General features: G+C 53.1%; 1 protein-coding gene and 1 non-coding gene across 44 annotated transcripts in view, besides 2 other annotated features; both read left to right on the top strand.

Annotated features, from left to right (window-relative positions):
- The window catches only part of HDAC4 (histone deacetylase 4), a 353482-nt gene extending 330330 nt beyond the window's left edge, over window positions 1-23152 (top strand). For all 43 annotated transcript variants that reach the window (XM_047446489.1, XM_047446486.1, XM_047446483.1 and 40 more), the window contains 5 exons: window positions 2713-2831; window positions 4465-4598; window positions 16487-16571; window positions 17719-17860; window positions 18184-23152. In XM_047446489.1, coding sequence (XP_047302445.1) covers window positions 2713-2831; window positions 4465-4598; window positions 16487-16571; window positions 17719-17860; window positions 18184-18223 — 520 coding nt within the window. In that variant the 3' untranslated portion in view covers window positions 18224-23152. The remainder of the gene's footprint in view (window positions 1-2712; window positions 2832-4464; window positions 4599-16486; window positions 16572-17718; window positions 17861-18183) is intronic.
- On the top strand, window positions 2406-2503 carry MIR4440 (microRNA 4440). Its single transcript, NR_039642.1, has one exon. It is a non-coding gene; the product is annotated as a microRNA 4440 (primary transcript).
- Window positions 2976-3475: an enhancer, noted in NCBI's record as "H3K4me1 hESC enhancer chr2:239989541-239990040 (GRCh37/hg19 assembly coordinates)". NCBI's record gives its function as "activates a minimal SCP1, AML or CMV promoter by ChIP-STARR-seq in naive H9 embryonic stem cells {active_cell/tissue: H9 hESC(naive)}" and the evidence as "EXISTENCE:reporter gene assay evidence [ECO:0000049][PMID:30033119]".
- Window positions 3476-3977: an enhancer, noted in NCBI's record as "H3K4me1 hESC enhancer chr2:239989039-239989540 (GRCh37/hg19 assembly coordinates)". NCBI's record gives its function as "activates a minimal SCP1, AML or CMV promoter by ChIP-STARR-seq in naive H9 embryonic stem cells {active_cell/tissue: H9 hESC(naive)}" and the evidence as "EXISTENCE:reporter gene assay evidence [ECO:0000049][PMID:30033119]".

Here is a 23700-nt window from a genome sequence, read left to right as displayed (position 1 = left end):
CGTCAGCCTCCCGAGTAGCTGGGATTATAGGTGCATGCCACCACACCCGGATTTTTGTATTTTTAGTGGAGATGGGGTTTCACCATGTTGGCCAGGCTGGTCTCAAACTCCTGACCTCAGGTGATCTGCCCACCTCAGCCTCCCAAAGTGCTGGGATTACTGGCGTGAGCCACCGTGCCCAGCACCCCTCCCTCCGCCGCCACCAAGAGTCCTCCACAACAATGCTTCTGCTCACTCCATTAAACTAGAAAACCTTTGCAAGAGCTTTGAAGAGAAACCATTAGGCATCCACCTTCCAGTCCTGAGTTGGCTGCTTCTTCTTTCCTAATCTTAGAAAAACCTGTAAAGGGCACTTATTTTTCTTCATTTAATGTAAAAAAAAAAAAAAAAAACAACAGAGACTGCATTGACATGGTTAGATTCCCAGGACACTCAGTCCTTTCGGGAGGGACTAAATGGCTGCGGTCACCATTGCAAAAGTGTCTTGGACTTGATGGAGCTTGAGAAATAAAGTTTATATTTTTTATCTTTTAATTCAATTTTTCCACGAACTTTTTGAAGCCCCTTTTTAAAGGCTCCACTTCTGTTCCACCGTCCTCACCTGCACAGGCCCCTTGCACCTGGGCCGTCATTGCAGGAAGACACCAGACCACCTGTCTCATGAGGTCCTTGCTGTCCGCCAGGAAAGGGAGGCCCTGATTCTGCTCCCCTCACCCACAGAGGGAGTGAAGGAGACTTTGAAAGTCAGTGGTGGTGATTAACTCAGGATCGAAGGCGGCAGCCTAAAGGAGACATGAAACTGCTGAACTTCCCTACTCACGGAGAGCACACATATGGATTCATAGCATACGCATGGATTCATAGCACACACTGATAAGATCATTAGACTAAAGACTGATAAGTTCTTTTGTGTTAAGGAGTGCTTTTTCCCCTTTCCAAATAGAATACTTTCCTTATTTCCCTAATATAATTTAAAGAATTTCTCAGTGGTTCTGTCTTTTCCAGTGAATTCTCTTACATTTGTCATCAGTTTTCCCTTTAAAGATTCTTAAGTGTCTTGTGTTGTAATTCCCTTACACCTGTGTGTGTTGGTGTTCCAGGGTGAGTAAGGAACACGTGGGCTCCCCCAGCAGGGCTGGCAAGGGCTCTCCGCCCTCTCGGCCACACTCAGTCCCAGCACTAGGGGCAGTGGGTGACTGCACGTGTCTTCAGTGGGAGCTGTGGAAAGTGCATTGTCGCAGCAAGAGCAGCCTGATGGGGCGAGTGGAGCTGACCCAGTCTCAGAAGAGAGGATGGGCAGGGAGGACCAGGACAGAGAGGACGGGACAGGGCCAGGGTGGGTGGGCACGGGGCCAAGGAGGGGTGTTAGTGGGACAGGGAGCTGGCTTCACTCCCCCAGGTTAATGCAGCTTGTCCCATGGGGGTTACAGAAATTATACAGAAAACAGCATACCAAGAAACAGCAATGCTCTCACTCTCACTAAGCAAGTGCAGTGGGGCTTGCTGGCTTGCACCGTGACTCCCTCTCACCAAGCAAGTGCAGTGGGGCTTGCTGGCTTGCACTGTGACTCCCTCTCACCAAGCAAGTGCAGTGGGGCTTGCTGGCTTGCACCGTGACTCACTCTCACCAAGCAAGTGCAGTGGGGCTTGCTGGCTTGCACCGTGACTCACTCTCACCAAGCAAGTGCAGTGGGGCTTGCTGGCTTGCACTGTGACTCACTCTCACCAAGCAAGTGCAGTGGGGCTTGCTGGCTTGCACTGTGACTCACTCTCACCAAGCAAGTGCAGTGGGGCTTGCTGGCTTGCACCGTGACTCCCTCTCACCAAGCAAGTGTCGTGGGGCTTGCTGGCTTGCACCGTGACTCACTCTCACTAAGCAAGTGTCGTGGGGCTTGCTGGCTTGCACCGTGACTCACTCTCACTAAGCAAGTGTCGTGGGGCTTGCTGGCTTGCACCGTGACTCCCTCTCACCCAGCAAGTGCAGTGGGGCTTGCTGGCTTGCACCGTGACTCCCTCTCACCAAGCAAGTGCAGTGGGGCTTGCTGGCTTGCACCGTGACTCCCTCTCACCAAGCAAGTGCAGTGGGGCTTGCTGGCTTGCACCGTGACTCCCTCTCACCAAGCAAGTGCAGTGGGGCTTGCTGGCTTGCACCGTGACTCCCTCTCACCAAGCAAGTGCAGTGGGGCTTGCTGGCTTGCACCGTGACTCCCTCTCACCAAGCAAGTGCAGTGGGGCTTGCTGGCTTGCACCGTGACTCCCTCTCACCAAGCAAGTGCAGTGGGGCTTGCTGGCTTGCACCGTGACTCCCTCTCACCAAGCAAGTGCAGTGGGGCTTGCTGGCTTGCACCGTGACTCCCTCTCACCAAGCAAGTGCAGTGGGGCTTGCTGGCTTGCACCGTGACTCCCTCTCACCAAGCAAGTGCAGTGGGGCTTGCTGGCTTGCACCGTGACTCCCTCTCACCAAGCAAGTGTCGTGGGGCTTGCTGGCTTGCACTGTGAAGATGTGAAATGAGCCTGGATCACACGTGGGTTGATTCCCTTCTAATTAAGCGTGGTCGCCAGATTCCAGCCTGCTGTGTGGAGCCCTCAGCCCGCCAGTGGCCGAGGGGGTGCGGGGCAGGCATTATCAATGCCAGAGGGAACCTTGGGGTTTTGTGACCGTCCCGTCCCTCTTTCAGCTGACCCAGTAACGCCTTCTCCTGTCCTTTGCAGAACGGTGGTCATGCCGATCGCCAGCGAGTTTGCCCCGGATGTGGTGCTGGTGTCATCAGGCTTCGATGCCGTGGAGGGCCACCCCACCCCTCTTGGGGGCTACAACCTCTCCGCCAGATGTAAGTGGTTCTGCATATGACTGAGGAGCCGGTTCTGCTCATGTCCATGATCCGCTGTGTTCCGCGTGTCAGGTCCCCTTTTTAATAACGAGATAAGGAAGGGCACCTTTTTACTAATGACCAAGGTTCTGACCGTACTGGGAACCAGTCCATTTGGGAGGCCCCAGAGAGCCCAGAGCAGGCAGCGGGAGCTCAGACCCAGGCACCTCGGGCACTCTTTGCCCAGGAAGGGCCTAGGGCACACGAGGCTCCCTCTCTGGGATGCGGGTGCCTAGGGACCTGCAGGCCACCTCCAGGGGCAGGTCCTGGTCCCACCAAGAGCTGAGATGTGCCCCATGCCGCTTCTCTGGCAGGCGGTGCTCCTTGGAACTGTAAAGGGAAGTTGCTGGGGGCACAGTTGAGTTCAGAGTTGGATGAGGGAGCCCAGGATGTGTGTGTCCTCTCAGGATCAGCGTTAGGGGCCATGCTGTCAGGATGGGAGGAGGGACTGCCCAGCAGTGCTCCTGCTGTGCCTCAGCAACTCACAAGGAGATGAAAACCTGGCGCACACAAAGGCCTGGCCGCCTCCCCCACCCTGGAGTCCCCGAGGATCCTGGAGAGCCTCCCGAGGCCCAAGCATCCTGTGGCCTTGGTCCTAGCCCTGGTGATGCCCTCAAGGCCCCAGCGTCCACAGTGTATGGCCCTCCCCACTCCTGTCGGCACAGGCGGCCAAGGAGGGGCCCGTCTCTCAGGTCCTTGCGTGGGGAGGGTGTGGCTCACCCAGGAGACCTGAGGCAGCCCTCGGTGGCTGTGCTCCCCTGGGGCCTCCCACAGTCCACCAGGCCGTGCAGCCTAGTGGCCAGCAAAGTGACCAGACAGAGGGCAAAGAGCTTCCACTGTGCCCAACGCCCCACAGCACCCGGCCCGGAGCACCGCGGCCACCACATCCTCAGCTTCCTCCTCAGTCCGCACAGCTGCCTCGAAGCCCCTGTCACTGTTTCCATCAGATGGGATGAACCGAGGCTTTGGGAAGTTACGGCCTCGCCAGCCCATGATCGGGGCCACTAATTAGCGGCGCGTGGTTCCGGGCTCTCTAATCAGCACCGGCCTGGCCTGGCTGAGGGTGGTGATTACCCTCATCCACCAGGCATTCCCTCCTGGGGTGAGTGATGTGGGTGCAGTGGCGGGACTGTGGCTCTTGATCAAAGCCAAACGCTCAGACCTGGACGTGGGAGAACGCTTCAGGAGCACATGCAGCCTGTGCACATGTGTACACATACATGTTTGGAGCATGTCAGATAACCAGAGCCCGCTGGGCCACGGCCACAAGAGCATGGCCATAGCCCCTCTGCGGGGGCCGAAGGGCAGGTGGCCTGCAGCCTCTGGGTGGGGCTGGCTGCCCTCGTCCCCTAAAGCAGATGATTTGCTGATTAAAAATCAAAGCATTGAAGCCATAATTCCTCCTCTCAAACAGATCAAAGAGGAAATCCAAAGCCGAAACTCTTCAGCGAATTTATTAAACGAAACCCGGCCTGGCCATGTGTCTCGACACCCCAGCCCCCAGTCTTCTTACGATGCCATGAGACGCGTTTCTGGGCTGTGCTGGCTGCGGTCCTCCCCCGTTCACACTGCAGTCTCCCGTTTCCCGTTGCAGGCTTCGGGTACCTGACGAAGCAGCTGATGGGCCTGGCTGGCGGCCGGATTGTCCTGGCCCTCGAGGGAGGCCACGACCTGACCGCCATTTGCGACGCCTCGGAAGCATGTGTTTCTGCCTTGCTGGGAAACGAGGTAGGAAGACCCCAGAGACCCCACAGGATGCTCCACACTGACAGGCTCGGGGTTGTGGCCTGGCTGCCCGAGAGCCCCAGAGCATGAAAAAGCCAGTGGGTCTCTGACCACGTGGATGCTTGCAGCTCCGCCTTGCACCTGCCCCCCACCCCCGCATAGCTCTAAATGTGGCAGAACCGTGACGATGGCTGGAAGAGGTGCAGGGGGCAGGACTGGAAGGAGCCCTCTTGTCGTGAGAAGATGGCTCAGGGTCCTCTGCGGTGCGACTGCACCCTTTCAGTTCAGGGTCCCTCTCTCCATTACGTGGAGCACACTGTGACCAGAGGTTTTCTTTTTCTTTCTCTCTTCGTTTCCTCTGTGGACAGTCAGCTTCTCTAGGGAGTCCTCATGTGGGTTTCGGTCAGTGGCCCCAAGGCAGGCTGGGGCTCTTCTGCCCAGCAGGCCTGTCTGCTGCTCTGAGCCCCCAGGGACAGGGCTCCCTGCTGTGTCCCTACCAACACCGCCGGAGGGAGTCAGAGACGCTGTGGTCTGTACAGCTGGCCTCTGAGACCTGGGCAGAGAAAAAGAATGTTCCACGGGCTCGGGGTGAGAGCGCCACCTGCAGCGTTCCATTCCAGCATGACGCTGGGGCCCGGGCCTCCCTGCTCCCAGCAGGGCCTCCACCAGGCGTGGGCCAGTGAGATGGGAGGAGGAGGCAGTGCCACAGCTACCAATGTCATATCCACCTCCAAGAGTGTCTGAAGTGTGTGACACAAAGTGGAGGGGTACCTTTCATTCTGAGTTTCCCACACCTGCTCTTCCTGAGCCTCTGAACCCGTCTACAGGGTTTTGGGTGTGAGTCCAGATCCCCAAGACACGACTCAGTCGGTGGCTTCCCCACGCAGAGCTCTGCCTGGCTGCCTGCGCTGGGTGTCCAGTGCAGGTCCGGAGAACAGCCAGCTGGCACGTGGGGGACTCAAGGGCCATGTGTCCAGATCACTTGACCACAGGAAGCGGAGGGCAGGGCAGTGCCTGAGGCTCCAGCACACCAGATGCAGAGGCCTTGCCAGGGGGCAGGGTGGGAGTCTGCCTCCTGTGCCCTCTGGGACTGCCCTCCCCAGCCCGGCAGTCCTGAGGACAGTCTCAGTAGAGTCGGGGTGACAGGGCACTTTAGTGGGGGTGTCCTGGTGCTCAGCGGTTTGCAGGAAACCTGCATTTTCACCCCCATTTGATGCTCAGCCCCCACTCTGGGGGACTTCTCTGGAAGCAGCATCCTCATTTTCAGCTCAAGGAAAAGGCAGCACTCTACCATCCGACCTCACCTGTCTTTACAAAAAAATCTCCCCAGTCCCTTATGTTTGGGGAACCAGTGGGACAGCAGCTCAGATGCCCTCGGGTCAGTGCTGGCTTTTGCCTGCCTGTGGGTGCTCCAGACCAAGGTGCTGGTCCCAGGCCCTCTGTTCACCAGACAGGCGGTCACACACTTACAGGTGCCTTGCACGCCCCTGGGTTCTGGTGTCTGATGGCTCTTACTGACAGGCGCTCTGGCCTGGCATTGTGGGGCGGGCAGAGGGATGGCAGGGACTGCAGCCATCCCAGGACACTCTGTGCAAGCCTCCCCCGATGGAAAGCTGGCCCTGCTCACTCCAGGACGGTCCGGGTGCCGTGCAACTAAGGGCAGCGCCCAGAGGCACTCGAGGTCACGAGCGGTGGGGAAACGTCAGGCCGCACAGGAGGCCACGGACCCCTGTAGTTAAGCACGGCGCTCGCGGGGTCTGGTGTGCAGGCATCGTTCGCATTGTTCTGGAAAATGCAGAGGGAGGGTCCACTCTCTGGCCCACTGTCTGTGAGTGGCCTCAGCATGCGCAGTGGGCCTCGAGGTGGCCAGCACACAGGGCACCTCGCAGAGGACGCCTCCTGCACATGGGCGTGGGTGCTGGAATTCTCATTGTGAGCGTTAGAACAAAAGGGTGTCTTCTTCCCAGTGCAAACCCCATTATGAGAGGAACCCCACTGGTCACAGCCAGTTCCCACCTCCACCACCTCTGCCGTCTGTCCCTGGGAAGCAGGTTGCTTTCCAAACGGTTGGTAACTCGCTGCTAACTGGGTGCTGCTTTAGCCGAGGAAGCCGTACGTTCCTGACCTGGGTCTGCTCTTGAGAGCAGGGTCTTATTGTGAGCAGTCAAGACCCCCACCTTTCTAGGGCCCCAGGCCGCCACAGCACCAGAACCTTCCTCCCTCCCCTTCTGTTGAGGCCGATGTGAGGGGCAGCATCAGAGACGGCGGAGGTGGGACCTGGGACTGCAGGTCCCGCCTCCAGCCAGGGGCACTCCAGTCAGGGGTCTCCCCCTGCGCCAGAAGTGGGAGCAGCACAGGGCATCCTCCGGGCCCCTCCCCCGCCCCCAGCAGGGCTGCTGCCATGGCTTTCCCAGAAAGGCCAGCACTGTAATCCTAAATTTTGAAAGATTCACTCTGAGACAAACCTGCTTTATTTTCCAGGAAAGGTCTCATTCAGACACAGGCCTGAAGGCCAAGCACACCAGCAATATCTCCAGGTGACACAAACTGCCCGGCACAGCAAGGGGAGCTTTTCCAGGCCAGGGAAGCCAGGGCGGTGCGCGTCAGCTGTGTGTTCCTCCAGCCCTTGCCATTAGAGGGAGAGGGGCAGCTTCCTTAGAACCTACGAGGCTCCGTCTCTCTGCAGTGACTCCTGATCTAAGGGCCGTGGGTGAGGCCTGCAGATGATCGGCAGGGCTCAGTGCCTTGCCCCGGTGACCATGCGCAGCCGCTGAGGGAGGCCCAGGACCGGCAGCGCTGAGCCTCGGCTCACCCAAAGGCTGCCATGGGGCCCATGGGGCCTTGACCCAGACTTGGGAAGCCAGGGAGCTGGCGGTCAGGGAAGTGGGCACTGGCCAGTGGTCTCCCAGACAGGAGGGAGGTTCGGTGGCTTGAAGAAGTAGAGGACGCCAAGGGCAGGGTGACCCTGGGGGTCAGTGAGAGCCCAGAAGTGCAGGCACCTCACGGGAGGACAGTTGGGCTCTCGCAGGTGTGGGGGAGGCTGGGCTGGCCAAGCCAAGAGCACGAGGCAGAAGGGGAAAGGGGAGAGAGGGACGCATGGCCAGGCCTGAGGTGGTCTGTTGGGCCCCACTGAAACCCCTGGATCTTCTGAGGGGTGGGCGCATACGTCCCCTTGCACACCTCCGCCGACAGCTGACAGTGCTGCCTTAAAGACCAGGGCTGGCCGGGCGCAGTGGCTCACGCCTGTAATCCCAGCACTTTGGGAGGCCGAGGCGGGCGGATCACGAGGTCAGGAGATCGAGACCATCCTGGCTAACATGGTGAAACCCCGTCTCTACTAAAAATACAAAAAAAAAATTAGTCGGGGGCAGTGGCGGGCGCCTGTAGTCCCAGCTACTCGGGAGGCTGAGGCAGGAGAATGGCGTGAACCCGGGAGGCGGAGCCTGCAGTGAGCCGAGATCGCGCCACCACACTCCAGCCTGGGCGAGAGAGCGAGACTCCGCCTAAAAAAAAAAACAAAAAAAGACTGCAGGGCCACGGCCCGGCTTGGGAGGATGGGGGATGGGAACGGTTCCATGACCCACTACAGAGCAAGACCCCTGGGTGCGTGACCCCGGGACAGCAGACCTGGAGTATGCGAGACCCCATGTGTGCCAAGCCCCAAGGGCACAAGACTTAGCCGGAGGAGCGACAGCAGGCAATGGCCAAGGTCAGGGCCTTGGCGGGGTCAGGACCTTGCATCGCCAAGGGGAGCCCCTTGGGACCTGCAGCCTGGGCCATCGCAGGGGCCTGCGCCAGCCAGAGGGGTGCCGAGAGGGGACATGGGCAGTGGCTGCAGGTACCAGGACACGCCCTGCCTTCTGGCCATCTTTGCTGGTCAGGGATGGTGTTCATGTTAACATAAATCACAAGTAGATCAAAGATCCAGGTGGCATCCCTGCAGCGGGTGAGCTGGCCAGCGACAGGCTGGATAAAAGACCGGGCTGCTGTTTAAAATGTCCAAAGCACTTTACAGGTCCTTTCTTCACATCAAACAGTCTTTTCCCCCTTTTTGCTCCAGTTAAAAGGCAACTGACGTATATATTCTACCATCCCGAAGCCTTATGGTTCTTCTGGCTAGTTATTTTAAATAACAATAGGGAACTTCGCTTTCAGCCGTGGCCTGTTCTTGCTTCCTGATGCGTGTTTGCGCTTCTAACAAGAAAATGTTCTTTTACTTAAACACGTCAAAAAGGAGGAAGCACTAGTTTTATCAAGGTCTCTTTAAAAGTCTCTTTAATGCACAAGAGTTGGCCTGGGCCCCGCCCCTCTGCCCGGCAGCCTTTGATGAAGGTTGATATACAGTGTGCCAGGCGATCTGGCACACACAGGCGGGGCCGCCAGCTGTGACGGCAGTGGCCTGCGGGGACCCTGTTGCTGCAGAAGTGGCTGAGTTATAGGGTGTGCGGGACAGGAAGCGCAGAGGGGCCTTGGCGTCCCCGCTATCAGAGCGACCCCTCTGTCTTCAGCGCGTAGGTCTGGAGGCCTGTGCTGTTCCCAGCAACCATTTTATTTAATAGTTTCCATGTTCAGTTATCTGCAACTGCCAGTGACTATGGGCAGTGAAAAGTTCCCTACGAGTGTTGCATGTTGCAGTGTAGATGGGCCGTGGAGTCGTGTGGGCGCAGCACCGAGTCGGGCCTCCAGCCAACTTCCATCAAAGACCCTGCACCAGACGGCCACGGGGATCTGTGGCCCAGGCCCGTGCCCCCGGGAGGTTAGGAAAGGACCGTCTCTCCTGTCTGAGACCATGCCCAAAGCAGGTTTTTGCTTGGGCCAATTTTCTACTTTAGTCATGGGGCATTTCAGGGTTAAAATGCCACCATCTCATTTAACCCACTCCAGGATTCGTGGAAGACATTCGTGGAGCAGGAGGGTGGTGTCGTGTGGAAAAGGTTTTCCCCCGGGAGTTTAGCTTATTAGTTATGTCCTGATGCTTTGTGAAAGGTGTGGTTGTGAAACAGCTCTAACAAAGTAACGAAAACCAAGTGTGTGTGAGGGACTGAGTTGGATTAACCTGAGAGCTGGCTGCCTGCTTCCAGTCACTCTTCCTCTCACACTGACACCCCACATGGCCACCCTCTTGTACACACACACCACACATAGGCACCACAGTCTCACATGCACGTGCATCCTTGCTCATGCACACCACACATGCACACCCACGCAAGCACCAGTCACACGTGCACACACGTGCACCCTCTCATGCACGCACACACCACACATACGCACACCCACACAGGCACCAGTCACACGTGCACACACCACACACCCTCTTGTGCATGCACACACCACACACACGCACACCCACACAGGTACCACAGTCTCACACATCACATGCACCACACAGGTATGCCCTCTTGTGCATGCACACACCACACATCTGCACACCCACAGAAGCACCAGTCTCACATCTGCACGTGCATACTCATGAATGCACCACACAGTCTCACGTGCACACACACACCACACACGCACACATACCCCACAAGCACATGCTGTCACGCACATTCATACACATGAATGCTTACACACACCACACACTCACACTCAGTCACACTCCCCCCGTGCCAACGGTGAATGTTTTATCTGCATGCAGCCGATTGTGGCGCGCACAGGGTCCACGTCGTGTGTCCCGCTTGCTCCTCTTTCCATCCGGGCTGCCAAAGCCTTCCTGGCCGACTTTCAGCAAGACAGAGCCCAGCCTCGTGGCCTTCAGAGTTGAAGGAGCTGTGGCCACACACAGCGGGGCCGTCCCTCTGGGCCCTGTTACCTGGGTGTTGGGATGTAAGGGACATCTCAGCGCTCCCCCTTCCCTGGGGCCCCCTCTGTAAAGGAGCCTGCGTGCATCCCACACGGGCCCGGGCCGGGGCAGGTGCGGGCTGCTCCGGGTTTGCTTGTGACAGACAGAGTTACGCTGAACTTCCGGGCAAGTCCCCAATACACCTAGGTGGCCGTGTCTCCGGTAAACGTCCAGGAGGGGAGATGGCCCAGGATGTGTTTGTTCACCTTTAGGAGATAACATCAAGCGGCTTTTTAAGGGTTAAAACTGTCTTCAGCAGTGGCGTGACCAGACCTCAGCAGCACTTGGCATTGTTGCCCTTGACCTTTGCCAGCTGGACGGGGGTAAAACTGGCCCCTCTGCAGGGCTCCAGGGTCCCTTCCTCATGACCGCCACGGCAGAGCAGCCCCGCATCTGCCTATTGGCCACCTGGGCTTTCCCTCCTTGTGAAGTTCATGTCAACCCGTTTTTCTATTGGATTGTCTTTTCCCTATTTGTTCTTAGTGGGGTGAATTAGACAGATGGACAGAGGGAGAGAAGGAGAGAGCGGTGGTGTGAAGCAGGTTCTCCACACATTGGTGACCAGCCTGTGTGAGTCCAGGGAGACAACACCCACACACACATTCTGTGCAGCAGATTTACTACTTACAGACAGGCAGCAGGGGACGGCAGAAGCCCAGGGCACCATGAGCCAGTCCCCCAAGGCTCAGAAATGCCCCAGTGGATGGAGTCCCATCAGTGCGCTCCTCTAGGAAACAGCCTGTCCTGAATTTTGTACCCCGAGTGCCATGTGACACACTGAGCTGAAGCACTGAAGGGTGCCCTGTTTCCACCGGCGGAGGACTGGGACAGAGCCAGGCTGGCCAGCCCGTGTCCTTCACATCTCAGGCTGTGTTGCCCAGCACAGTCCACGGTCACTCTCGAGAACTACGAGTGTGACGGACGTGGGTGGATCCAAGGGCCCCCGGAGAGCTCTCCTGCAGGCTGGTGGGTGGGTCCAAGGTCCCCCAGAGGACTGTCCTGCAGGCTGGTAGGTGGGTCCAAGGCCCCCCAGAGGACTGTCCTGCAGGCTGGTGGATGGGTCCAAGGCCCCCAGGAGAGCTGTGCTCCAGGCTGGTGGGTGGTAGCTGGCTCCCTAGGAGTGTTCTCCCTGTCCTCTGGAGGAGTGGAGGTAGGATCAGGATAATCTGTTCCTTGACTGGGAGAACTCTCCTAGGCCGCAGGTTTACTTTGGGTGAAAATTTTAAATTACAGATTCAGTGACTTTAATGGTTATAGGTCTATTGAAGTTTCCTATTCCTTCTTAATTTTGAGAAGTTACATTTTACCAGAAATGTCTCCATTTCAACCAGAATTTCTTCAGATTTCTTGGCAAGAGTTAAGTGTCCCCAGTTTCCTGCCTTTCACGTCTCTGCTCTGCCTGTAGCCGGGGCCCCCTTTCATCCCTGGGGTTGTCCCTGTGTACCCCCCCGAACTTGGGTTTCCTCCGTCAGTCCTGCCGGAGCCTGTCAGTTTACTCAAGCACTTCCGAGAATCAGTTTTCAACTGCAGCATCCTTTTTTCTTTTCAGAATTTGTCTGCTTTCCCATCTATCTTCTTTCCTTCTTGCTTTAGGACCACTGTGTTCTCTGGCTAACTTCTTACATTGGATATTTATTTTTAGTCTTTCCTGATGTGTGCAGTTAGGGCTGTAAATGGCTCCAACATGGCATCCAGCCGCATCTCACATCGTGATAGGTAGCACTTTTCATTACTTTTTAATTCTCAGCATTTCCTGATGTCTGTTATGATTTCTTCTTTGAGCCATGAGTTGGTGTGTTTTCTAATTTCCAAACATAAGGACTCATGGTTCTCTTTTTGCTATCAATTTCTAACAAATTGCACTGTGGTAAGAAAAGGAAGTGTGGTTGGCATTTATTTTTTTGTGGCGACTTGCTTTACGGGCCAGTGCGTGGTCAGCCTGCAGAGACATTCCACATGTGTTTGGGATAATGTGTCCTCTCCGTCTGTTTCCCAGAGTTCTGTTTGTGTTCATTAAACAGAACTTGCTAATTGTATTGTTCACGCTTTGGTTTTCCTGACCGACGATTGTCTGCTGGATCTGAGAAAGACATGGCAAAGTCTCCCACGATGGTGGGACACACATATTCTTGTCTTCTTTCCATTGCACCCATTTTTACTTAGACATTTTAAAGCTGCTTTACTAAATATAGACATTTGACATCATTATGCCCTTTCGTGATGAATTGAAGTCTTATCACAATAACCTGTATATCCAGTAATGGCCTTTCCCTTACATCTTTTGTGCCAGATATTGGAGCTGTGACCCCAGCTGCCCTTTGGCCAGGTTTGCCTGCCTAGCGTCAGTTTTCCTTTGGGACTTTTAGCCTTCCCCTGAAGTTTCAGATGTGTCTCCTATAAACAGCAAAAGCCTGGGCAATATATTATTTTCACGTCCTATCCTGTGGTCTGTGCTTTAAGTGGAAACGTGGGTCATTTGCTGTTAGTTTGATCCCTTTTTTCAGATGCCTTCTTAGCATCTTATTCATTGTTTGTCCCCAGTTTCTGTGGCTCTTTCCTTTTTCTCTTTTCTCGCCTTCTCTTGGGGTAATTGAGGGTTTCCTGCATTCCATTTGTTCCCTCTACTGAGTCCAAAGATATGCAACCTATTTTCTTGTTTTTCATTCGTCATCTTTAACAATTGGAGCATGTATTGTCAACACAGTCAGCATCCTCACTCCCACCTCCATGCAAACCAAAGCCCGGACTGGGCCAGCCCCAATTAGGGTGCCAGAGTAGACACAGAGCACCCAGGTGGGTATCCTTCCACTGCAAAACTACTTGTTTATCAGACACTGAAATTTAACCAGGGCCGTGAATGGTTTTGTTTGTTTTTGTTTTACTAAATCTGGCAGCCCTAGCCTCAGTGCCCCATCCCAGGTTATATCACTGACTGGTGTTTCATTTCCTTCTTTCTTTTGTTTGATTTCACTGATAAGACACCATTATTATTGCTCTATGTCATCCCTGTTCATCCAGGCTTTCCTGTACTTATGTCATTTTCTTGGCTCATCATTCCTTCTCATTTCTCACACTGTCTTCTAGGATTATTTTCATACTGCCTTAAGTATAATACATCCACTAGAGTGTCCCTTGGGAAAACACTCATGTGGTCAACTTCCCCAGCTCGCGTTTGTGAGGAGGCAGGTCTTTATCTCACCCTTGTTCTTGGATGATAGTTTCACTGGATAAACAATTCTGGGTTGACAAGGATTTGCTCTTGACACATTGATTGGCTTAAGATTTTAAGCCACTGTCTGCTTGCCTCCATTGCTGTTAAGGAGTTGGTGTGTGGCTAATGGCTACCTCTTTGAAGATTCTGTTTTCTCTAGCAGCTTTTAGAATTTTCTTTTTGTTTTTGATGTTCTGCAGTTTTACTCTGATGTACCTAGGTGTGCATTCCTGGGTTTTTTTGCCCCTGGCTTGGGTCTCACATCTTCCATGTCACGTTCATAAATCTCTGGTTGTTTCATCATACAGAAATGTCATTTATTTTTAATACATACTCACTATATTTACTTTTTATAATTTATAACTGATCATTTCAGTAACTGCGATCTTTAAGGATCTAATCAATTAAAACTTATTAAAAGTTAATAAACTTTTTATTTTTGGATAGTCTGAGATTTACAGAAACATTGTAGAGATCGTGTACAAGTTCCTCATATCCCCCCTCAGAAAACGTCTTCTACTGTGAACATCTTACTTCGATATGAGTCGTTTGTCACAACTTAGAAACCAATGCTGGTCCATGACTATTAACTCCAGAATGTATTTGGATGTCACCAGCTTTACCACAACTGCCCTTTCTCCATTTTAGGGTCCCGTCCAGGATCACACGTCACATTTAGTCATTTCGTGTCTTTTTTCTCAGTCTTTCATGGTTTTTCAAGGAGCACTGGCCAGAGATTTTGCAGACTGCCCTTCAGTTCATGTTTGAGTTTCTTCTCCTGGTTCTGTGCTTTGGGGAGGAAGATCATAGGATCGAAATGCCATTCGCTTGTCAGATGTGCTGCCAGCACGGCTCACTGACCTTGATCATTTGCTGAGAGTGATGTTTGCCGGGTCCTTCCACCATCGGGTTACGCTTTTACCGCCTTTCCAAATGTATTATTTGGAAGAAAGTCACAGTGCAGTGCACACTCAGGGGGACAGAGTTGGAGAGGCCTTAAGCCCCACCTCCTGGAGAGGGGAGTAGATACGTGCATTATTTGAAATGCTCAAGGAGTTGTCTCTGCTCCCCTGTGTGTGTATTTCGTTATTTATTCATATCCCGGTGAACTCCTGTGTATCTGTCTTTCTTACACTTTGGGTCATGCTTCAATACCACGGTGTTGATTTTGCTGCCCAGCTGGTTCCTGCTCTGGCCCTGGGGCACCTTTCAGACTGGCCCTGCATGTCCTGTGATGGCCCCGTCCCTTGACCTTCAGGCACGTCCTGATTTCCCAGCACCACGAGGTGCTCCAGGCTCTCGTGTCTTGTATTTTCCCCGCCCCAGCCTTGGACCGAGCTGTTCTCCAAGGAGCCTGCTTCCCTTCATTGGAGAATGGGATTGGGAACCTCGCTCATCATCCCTCCTGACCCAGGCTCGTGCTGACTCACTTCCGTGTTGTTTGGGGTTTTTGTGTTTGGGAACTCATGCTTCCTGGAAGTTAACCGGCTGTGCTCATTTGAAGCCTGCTGTGGGTATGTGTGCCTCCAAAGAGGCCCTGCTGTGGTTTCTGCCTGGCGCCCTGGCCTGGCGGAGCTGCCACTGTCGATAGTAGCTGTCCACTCCCAGTGTCTAGAAGCAGGCAAATTCTCAGGGTCACTTTGTCTTTTCACCTCTACCCAGAAGCCAGAGTTAAAACCCAAACGCTCCTTCCCATGGCCTCTGTTTGACACGTCGTCGTGCGTCTGTCCTCGCTCACCCGTCCTGTCCTGACAGTGGTCTTTCCAGCCCCAGCAAGGCTGGCTCCAGGACACCTGGGGACATGGGTGCTTTGGCCTTCTGACTCAGGTCCAGCTTTGTTCCAGACCCAGCAGGTTTCCCCTGGTTTTGTGGGCTCTTCCAGTTATTTAAAGGTTCTTGAACTGTTGTATTTCTATATTTTTATAATCCATTTCAACCTTTTTTTTTTTTTTTTTGAGACAGGGTCTCACTCTGTTGCCCAGGCTGGAGTGCGGTGGCACAATCTTGGCTCACTACAGCCTCCGCCTCCTGGATTCAAGTGATTCTCATGCCTCAGCCTCCCGAGTAGCTGGGACTACAGGTGCCCACCGCCATACCTGGCTAAGTTTTGTATTTTTAGTAGAGACAGAGTTTCACCACGTTGCCCAGGCTGGTCTGGAACGCCTGACCTCAAGTGATCCACCCGCCTCGGCCTCCCAAAGTACTGGGATTACAGGCGTGAGCCACCACGCCCGGCCAGTCAACCATTTTTAATTGTTGTGTTGCAAATGCTTTGCCCTGTTGCCCTGTCATTGACTTGTAAACTTCTTCCCTGCTTTTATCTGCTGCCAGTACTTAGGGAAAAACTCGGTGTGAAGGATTCCCTCTGAGAGATCTGACTACTTCTTCCATTTCATCTCCCCCGACCCCACCTTCCGCTGCCCTGGAAGAAAACCAAGATCAGGGGATATTCAGACATTCTTACTTATTAATAAAAGACAAAGGAAAGAAAAGTGATGAAGTAAGCGTCACTCCCCCTCATGGAACCCTGTGGCGTCGATGGCAGATACCAAGTTCACGTGCAGGTGCCAGCCCCACTCCTGGGGACTGTCTTTCTTCCTGCTACTTGTAGGAACCCACAAATATCTTATAGCGTCCTAAAAAAAAATCCACTTTTACAAAAAAATTATAAATACCACGGCACATTTGGCTTTTTAAAGTTATTTTTTTCTACTCTGTGGGCAAATGCACCCCACAAGGGTCTCTGTGCTCAGGAAACAGTTGCAGTCTCGGAACACCCGTCTAACGCACGTGTGGATTATATTGGCAGTCTTTATATTCTTATGCATTTTCTTCCAGCTTGATCCTCTCCCAGAAAAGGTTTTACAGCAAAGACCCAATGCAAACGCTGTCCGTTCCATGGAGAAAGTCATGGAGATCCACAGTAAGTTGCCTGGCTGGGTGCTCACAGGGGACACGCCCCTGGGGGTGGGACTGCACCACACCCCATCCCTGTCCCCCTATACCCCCAGCTCTTCTCCATCCCACTGCCGGCTGCTTCCCCAGGCCTGCAGCAGAAGGCCTTGCTTTCAGCTGCATTTCTTGAGCTGGTAGAGACTCACATTTAACCCCGACTGGATTTCCCCCGGCCTGCTGGGATGGTTCCATCAGCCCAATTTGTAAGTCTAGAGAATCAAGGCCCAGACAGTCTCAGTGTGGAGTCACTTGCTCTAGGTCCCCAGCTAGCAGCGGGGGCCATGGCTGTGAGCCTGTACCCTGGGGACTCCGGCCTCTTCCCTGGACCAGAGAAGCCCACGTCCTGACCTCAAAGAACCCTTGGCCCTGCAGAGAGGCAGGGTGTAGGCCCTCTGAGTTCTGGCACCGACCCTCAAGCAGCAGGTCCTGGGTGCAAGGGCGTGGCACGCAGCCTATCTCAGAGGCGCCTCCCACACCCTGTCATTGTCGCAAGCCCAGCTTGTCTTGCCTTTGAGATGACCCAGATGGTTGAGACTGTCCACAGAAGCAGGGGTAGTCCAGAGCTCAGCTCCCCGTTTCCCTGTGTGAGGGAGTCCTGGCTTCAGAGCCCTGAAGCTGACCCTGGGCCAGGCCCAGCCCTCCACATACACCCCCTTGCGCCTGACGCAGTACCCCTCCACCCCCAGCCTCTGTGAGGGCCCAGGCAGAAGACCCCTCAGCCCCAGCGACAATCCCCCAGCTCACCTGCTCCCAGAGATAGGAAGGCTCAACCCAGCAGGCTGGCAGCCCCCTGCCCTGGCCACCCAGGGCAGAAAGGGGCCCGTGAGCGTGGAAAGCCAGGCCTACAGGAGCCTCCCTCTGCAGTCCTAGGTGGGCCTGCTCCTGGAGGGACTCGAGCCACTCACAATGGGGAAACATTTCCAGAGATTTTTTGGGTCTTTGTGAGTTTGTAGCCATGCAGTCTTCTGCTTCGTGTCTCTTCAAAGACGGGTGCTTTTAAAATCATAAGGGATCAATCTGGTTTGAGGCTCAGGGTCCCGCAGGACCTTCCCGGGCCTCAGTGCATCCTGCTAAGTTGTAGTCACTGAGCGACTTTCCTCACCCCACCACCCCAGGCAAGTACTGGCGCTGCCTGCAGCGCACAACCTCCACAGCGGGGCGTTCTCTGATCGAGGCTCAGACTTGCGAGAACGAAGAAGCCGAGACGGTCACCGCCATGGCCTCGCTGTCCGTGGGCGTGAAGCCCGCCGAAAAGAGGTGAGCACCTGCCCTGCCGCCCGCCTGCAGGCTCACCCAGCCCCACTGTGCCCACTGACACACTATTCAGGGTCAGAACCTTTATGGCACATGCCCTGCCCAACAGACTAGAGACAGGCCAGTGTGGCCCCCTCCTTCCAGTGCCAAAGCCCCTTAGAGACGCATGAGGAGCATTAGATCCTGAACAGATGGACCCGGGGCTGCCAGGCCAGGGCTAGGCTGGCGGGTGGGGCAGCACACAGCCTTTAACCCACGTTCTGTTCTCTCCTCTCTGTGGTGCACCTGCCCCACGCCCCCATCTCCTTCTCTTGCGGGATCCACAGACCAGATGAGGAGCCCATGGAAGAGGAGCCGCCCCTGTAGCACTCCCTCGAAGCTGCTGTTCTCTTGTCTGTCTGTCTCTGTCTTGAAGCTCAGCCAAGAAACTTTCCCGTGTCACGCCTGCGTCCCACCGTGGGGCTCTCTTGGAGCACCCAGGGACACCCAGCGTGCAACAGCCACGGGAAGCCTTTCTGCCGCCCAGGCCCACAGGTCTCGAGACGCACATGCACGCCTGGGCGTGGCAGCCTCACAGGGAACACGGGACAGACGCCGGCGACGCGCAGACACACGGACACGCGGAAGCCAAGCACACTCTGGCGGGTCCCGCAAGGGACGCCGTGGAAGAAAGGAGCCTGTGGCAACAGGCGGCCGAGCTGCCGAATTCAGTTGACACGAGGCACAGAAAACAAATATCAAAGATCTAATAATACAAAACAAACTTGATTAAAACTGGTGCTTAAAGTTTATTACCCACAACTCCACAGTCTCTGTGTAAACCACTCGACTCATCTTGTAGCTTATTTTTTTTTAAAGAGGACGTTTTCTACGGCTGTGGCCCGCCTCTGTGAACCATAGCGGTGTGCGGCGGGGGGTCTGCACCCGGGTGGGGGACAGAGGGACCTTTAAAGAAAACAAAACTGGACAGAAACAGGAATGTGAGCTGGGGGAGCTGGCTTGAGTTTCTCAAAAGCCATCGGAAGATGCGAGTTTGTGCCTTTTTTTTTATTGCTCTGGTGGATTTTTGTGGCTGGGTTTTCTGAAGTCTGAGGAACAATGCCTTAAGAAAAAACAAACAGCAGGAATCGGTGGGACAGTTTCCTGTGGCCAGCCGAGCCTGGCAGTGCTGGCACCGCGAGCTGGCCTGACGCCTCAAGCACGGGCACCAGCCGTCATCTCCGGGGCCAGGGGCTGCAGCCCGGCGGTCCCTGTTTTGCTTTATTGCTGTTTAAGAAAAATGGAGGTAGTTCCAAAAAAGTGGCAAATCCCGTTGGAGGTTTTGAAGTCCAACAAATTTTAAACGAATCCAAAGTGTTCTCACACGTCACATACGATTGAGCATCTCCATCTGGTCGTGAAGCATGTGGTAGGCACACTTGCAGTGTTACGATCGGAATGCTTTTTATTAAAAGCAAGTAGCATGAAGTATTGCTTAAATTTTAGGTATAAATAAATATATATATGTATAATATATATTCCAATGTATTCCAAGCTAAGAAACTTACTTGATTCTTATGAAATCTTGATAAAATATTTATAATGCATTTATAGAAAAAGTATATATATATATATAAAATGAATGCAGATTGCGAAGGTCCCTGCAAATGGATGGCTTGTGAATTTGCTCTCAAGGTGCTTATGGAAAGGGATCCTGATTGATTGAAATTCATGTTTTCTCAAGCTCCAGATTGGCTAGATTTCAGATCGCCAACACATTCGCCACTGGGCAACTACCCTACAAGTTTGTACTTTCATTTTAATTATTTTCTAACAGAACCGCTCCCGTCTCCAAGCCTTCATGCACATATGTACCTAATGAGTTTTTATAGCAAAGAATATAAATTTGCTGTTGATTTTTGTATGAATTTTTTCACAAAAAGATCCTGAATAAGCATTGTTTTATGAATTTTACATTTTTCCTCACCATTTAGCAATTTTCTGAATGGTAATAATGTCTAAATCTTTTTCCTTTCTGAATTCTTGCTTGTACATTTTTTTTTACCTTTCAAAGGTTTTTAATTATTTTTGTTTTTATTTTTGTACGATGAGTTTTCTGCAGCGTACAGAATTGTTGCTGTCAGATTCTATTTTCAGAAAGTGAGAGGAGGGACCGTAGGTCTTTTCGGAGTGACACCAACGATTGTGTCTTTCCTGGTCTGTCCTAGGAGCTGTATAAAGAAGCCCAGGGGCTCTTTTTAACTTTCAACACTAGTAGTATTACGAGGGGTGGTGTGTTTTTCCCCTCCGTGGCAAGGGCAGGGAGGGTTGCTTAGGATGCCCGGCCACCCTGGGAGGCTTGCCAGATGCCGGGGGCAGTCAGCATTAATGAAACTCATGTTTAAACTTCTCTGACCACATCGTCAGGATAGAATTCTAACTTGAGTTTTCCAAAGACCTTTTGAGCATGTCAGCAATGCATGGGGCACACGTGGGGCTCTTTACCCACTTGGGTTTTTCCACTGCAGCCACGTGGCCAGCCCTGGATTTTGGAGCCTGTGGCTGCAAGGAACCCAGGGACCCTTGTTGCCTGGTGAACCTGCAGGGAGGGTATGATTGCCTGACCAGGACAGCCAGTCTTTACTCTTTTTCTCTTCAACAGTAACTGACAGTCACGTTTTACTGGTAACTTATTTTCCAGCACATGAAGCCACCAGTTTCATTCCAAAGTGTATATTGGGTTCAGACTTGGGGGCAGAAGTTCAGACACACCGTGCTCAGGAGGGACCCAGAGCCGAGTTTCGGAGTTTGGTAAAGTTTACAGGGTAGCTTCTGAAATTAACTCAAACTTTTGACCAAATGAGTGCAGATTCTTGGATTCACTTGGTCACTGGGCTGCTGATGGTCAGCTCTGAGACAGTGGTTTGAGAGCAGGCAGAACGGTCTTGGGACTTGTTTGACTTTCCCCTCCCTGGTGGCCACTCTTTGCTCTGAAGCCCAGATTGGCAAGAGGAGCTGGTCCATTCCCCATTCATGGCACAGAGCAGTGGCAGGGCCCAGCTAGCAGGCTCTTCTGGCCTCCTTGGCCTCATTCTCTGCATAGCCCTCTGGGGATCCTGCCACCTGCCCTCTTACCCCGCCGTGGCTTATGGGGAGGAATGCATCATCTCACTTTTTTTTTTTAAGCAGATGATGGGATAACATGGACTGCTCAGTGGCCAGGTTATCAGTGGGGGGACTTAATTCTAATCTCATTCAAATGGAGACGCCCTCTGCAAAGGCCTGGCAGGGGGAGGCACGTTTCATCTGTCAGCTCACTCCAGCTTCACAAATGTGCTGAGAGCATTACTGTGTAGCCTTTTCTTTGAAGACACACTCGGCTCTTCTCCACAGCAAGCGTCCAGGGCAGATGGCAGAGGATCTGCCTCGGCGTCTGCAGGCGGGACCACGTCAGGGAGGGTTCCTTCATGTGTTCTCCCTGTGGGTCCTTGGACCTTTAGCCTTTTTCTTCCTTTGCAAAGGCCTTGGGGGCACTGGCTGGGAGTCAGCAAGCGAGCACTTTATATCCCTTTGAGGGAAACCCTGATGACGCCACTGGGCCTCTTGGCGTCTGCCCTGCCCTCGCGGCTTCCCGCCGTGCCGCAGCGTGCCCACGTGCCCACGCCCCACCAGCAGGCGGCTGTCCCGGAGGCCGTGGCCCGCTGGGACTGGCCGCCCCTCCCCAGCGTCCCAGGGCTCTGGTTCTGGAGGGCCACTTTGTCAAGGTGTTTCAGTTTTTCTTTACTTCTTTTGAAAATCTGTTTGCAAGGGGAAGGACCATTTCGTAATGGTCTGACACAAAAGCAAGTTTGATTTTTGCAGCACTAGCAATGGACTTTGTTGTTTTTCTTTTTGATCAGAACATTCCTTCTTTACTGGTCACAGCCACGTGCTCATTCCATTCTTCTTTTTGTAGACTTTGGGCCCACGTGTTTTATGGGCATTGATACATATATAAATATATAGATATAAATATATATGAATATATTTTTTTAAGTTTCCTACACCTGGAGGTTGCATGGACTGTACGACCGGCATGACTTTATATTGTATACAGATTTTGCACGCCAAACTCGGCAGCTTTGGGGAAGAAGAAAAATGCCTTTCTGTTCCCCTCTCATGACATTTGCAGATACAAAAGATGGAAATTTTTCTGTAAAACAAAACCTTGAAGGAGAGGAGGGCGGGGAAGTTTGCGTCTTATTGAACTTATTCTTAAGAAATTGTACTTTTTATTGTAAGAAAAATAAAAAGGACTACTTAAACATTTGTCATATTAAGAAAAAAAGTTTATCTAGCACTTGTGACATACCAATAATAGAGTTTATTGTATTTATGTGGAAACAGTGTTTTAGGGAAACTACTCAGAATTCACAGTGAACTGCCTGTCTCTCTCGAGTTGATTTGGAGGAATTTTGTTTTGTTTTGTTTTGTTTGTTTCCTTTTATCTCCTTCCACGGGCCAGGCGAGCGCCGCCCGCCCTCACTGGCCTTGTGACGGTTTATTCTGATTGAGAACTGGGCGGACTCGAAAGAGTCCCCTTTTCCGCACAGCTGTGTTGACTTTTTAATTACTTTTAGGTGATGTATGGCTAAGATTTCACTTTAAGCAGTCGTGAACTGTGCGAGCACTGTGGTTTACAATTATACTTTGCATCGAAAGGAAACCATTTCTTCATTGTAACGAAGCTGAGCGTGTTCTTAGCTCGGCCTCACTTTGTCTCTGGCATTGATTAAAAGTCTGCTATTGAAAGAAAAAGAAAGCGAACAGTTTTTGTTTGTTTTTTTTGCCGTGTGTGCTCCATAGTGGAGGCGCTATTTTCCAATTGATGAGAATGACAAACATATATAATCTATCTATCTATCTATCTATCTATCTATCTATACAGGGGGCTTGAACCTTACTCACCCAAGAGCTTCTTACGGAATGTGGTAGAAAACCAAGTTGTAACGACACTGTAACCTACCTGATGCCTGTTCGCGCCCGCCGTGAGCTGCGCACTGGCCGTGGCCACCATTCACCTCTGTAATTTAATCCGTTTCTCTTGGATTGTCTGGACGTGCCCGATGGTTCTTTCTTTTGCTCAGTGGAGTTGGAGGTTTTGTGTTTGGTTTTCTCATTCTTGTCTTGTTTTGTGTGGGTGGATTTTCACCGACCAATGATATCCTCTTCTGACGGTCACCTTCTTTCCACTTCACTGGAGTCCAGTATTCTGTACCACATCACGCAACGTGTTATCTTGTGGTGTAAATAAAGACTGCGTTACTTGCCCTCCCAGCTCTGGTTTCTGCCCGTGCGCTCTCTTCCTCATTGGCTCTCGCATGTCTGGGACCCTGTGGGCCGAATGGCCAGTGCCCTGGGTCCCATCCGGATGGCTGCATGGGAATCACTGGACCCCATGGGGACGGCCCCTAGACCCAGACCAGCGGCAGGCCCGTCCCCCTCTGCCTGCATAATCAGGTCCCATAGGAGTGTCTTCATTTTAAATGTCCAGTAATTTAAATCTTTACATTATCTTCTCCCCCAAAACACTTACCAAGCCATAGAGAGCTGGAAATAATCTTGGAGAGAACAAGGCCAAAGAGAGAGGCCCAGGGCCCAGGCTTAGCCACCTGCCCACAGCCGGGCAAACACACCTCTGAGACTGGAGTCCAAACACCAGCCACAGCTCCTGACCCTCAGCAGCGCCCCTTCCCAGGCTCCCGCATCCAGTGACTAATCAGTTGGGTGCCGGGCAGCGTAAGCACCAGGCCACCTTGGCCCAACTTAGGACAACTCAAGGCCTGCTGGCTTCCCGGAAAGTGCCTGAGCCCCTCCCTAGGCTG

The sequence above is a fragment of the Homo sapiens genome, chromosome 2 (assembly GCF_000001405.40).
Source record: "Homo sapiens chromosome 2, GRCh38.p14 Primary Assembly".
Lineage (NCBI taxonomy): Eukaryota > Metazoa > Chordata > Mammalia > Primates > Hominidae > Homo > Homo sapiens.
Note: the sequence above shows the minus strand (reverse complement) of the source record. Positions and strands in the feature narration are given on the sequence as shown.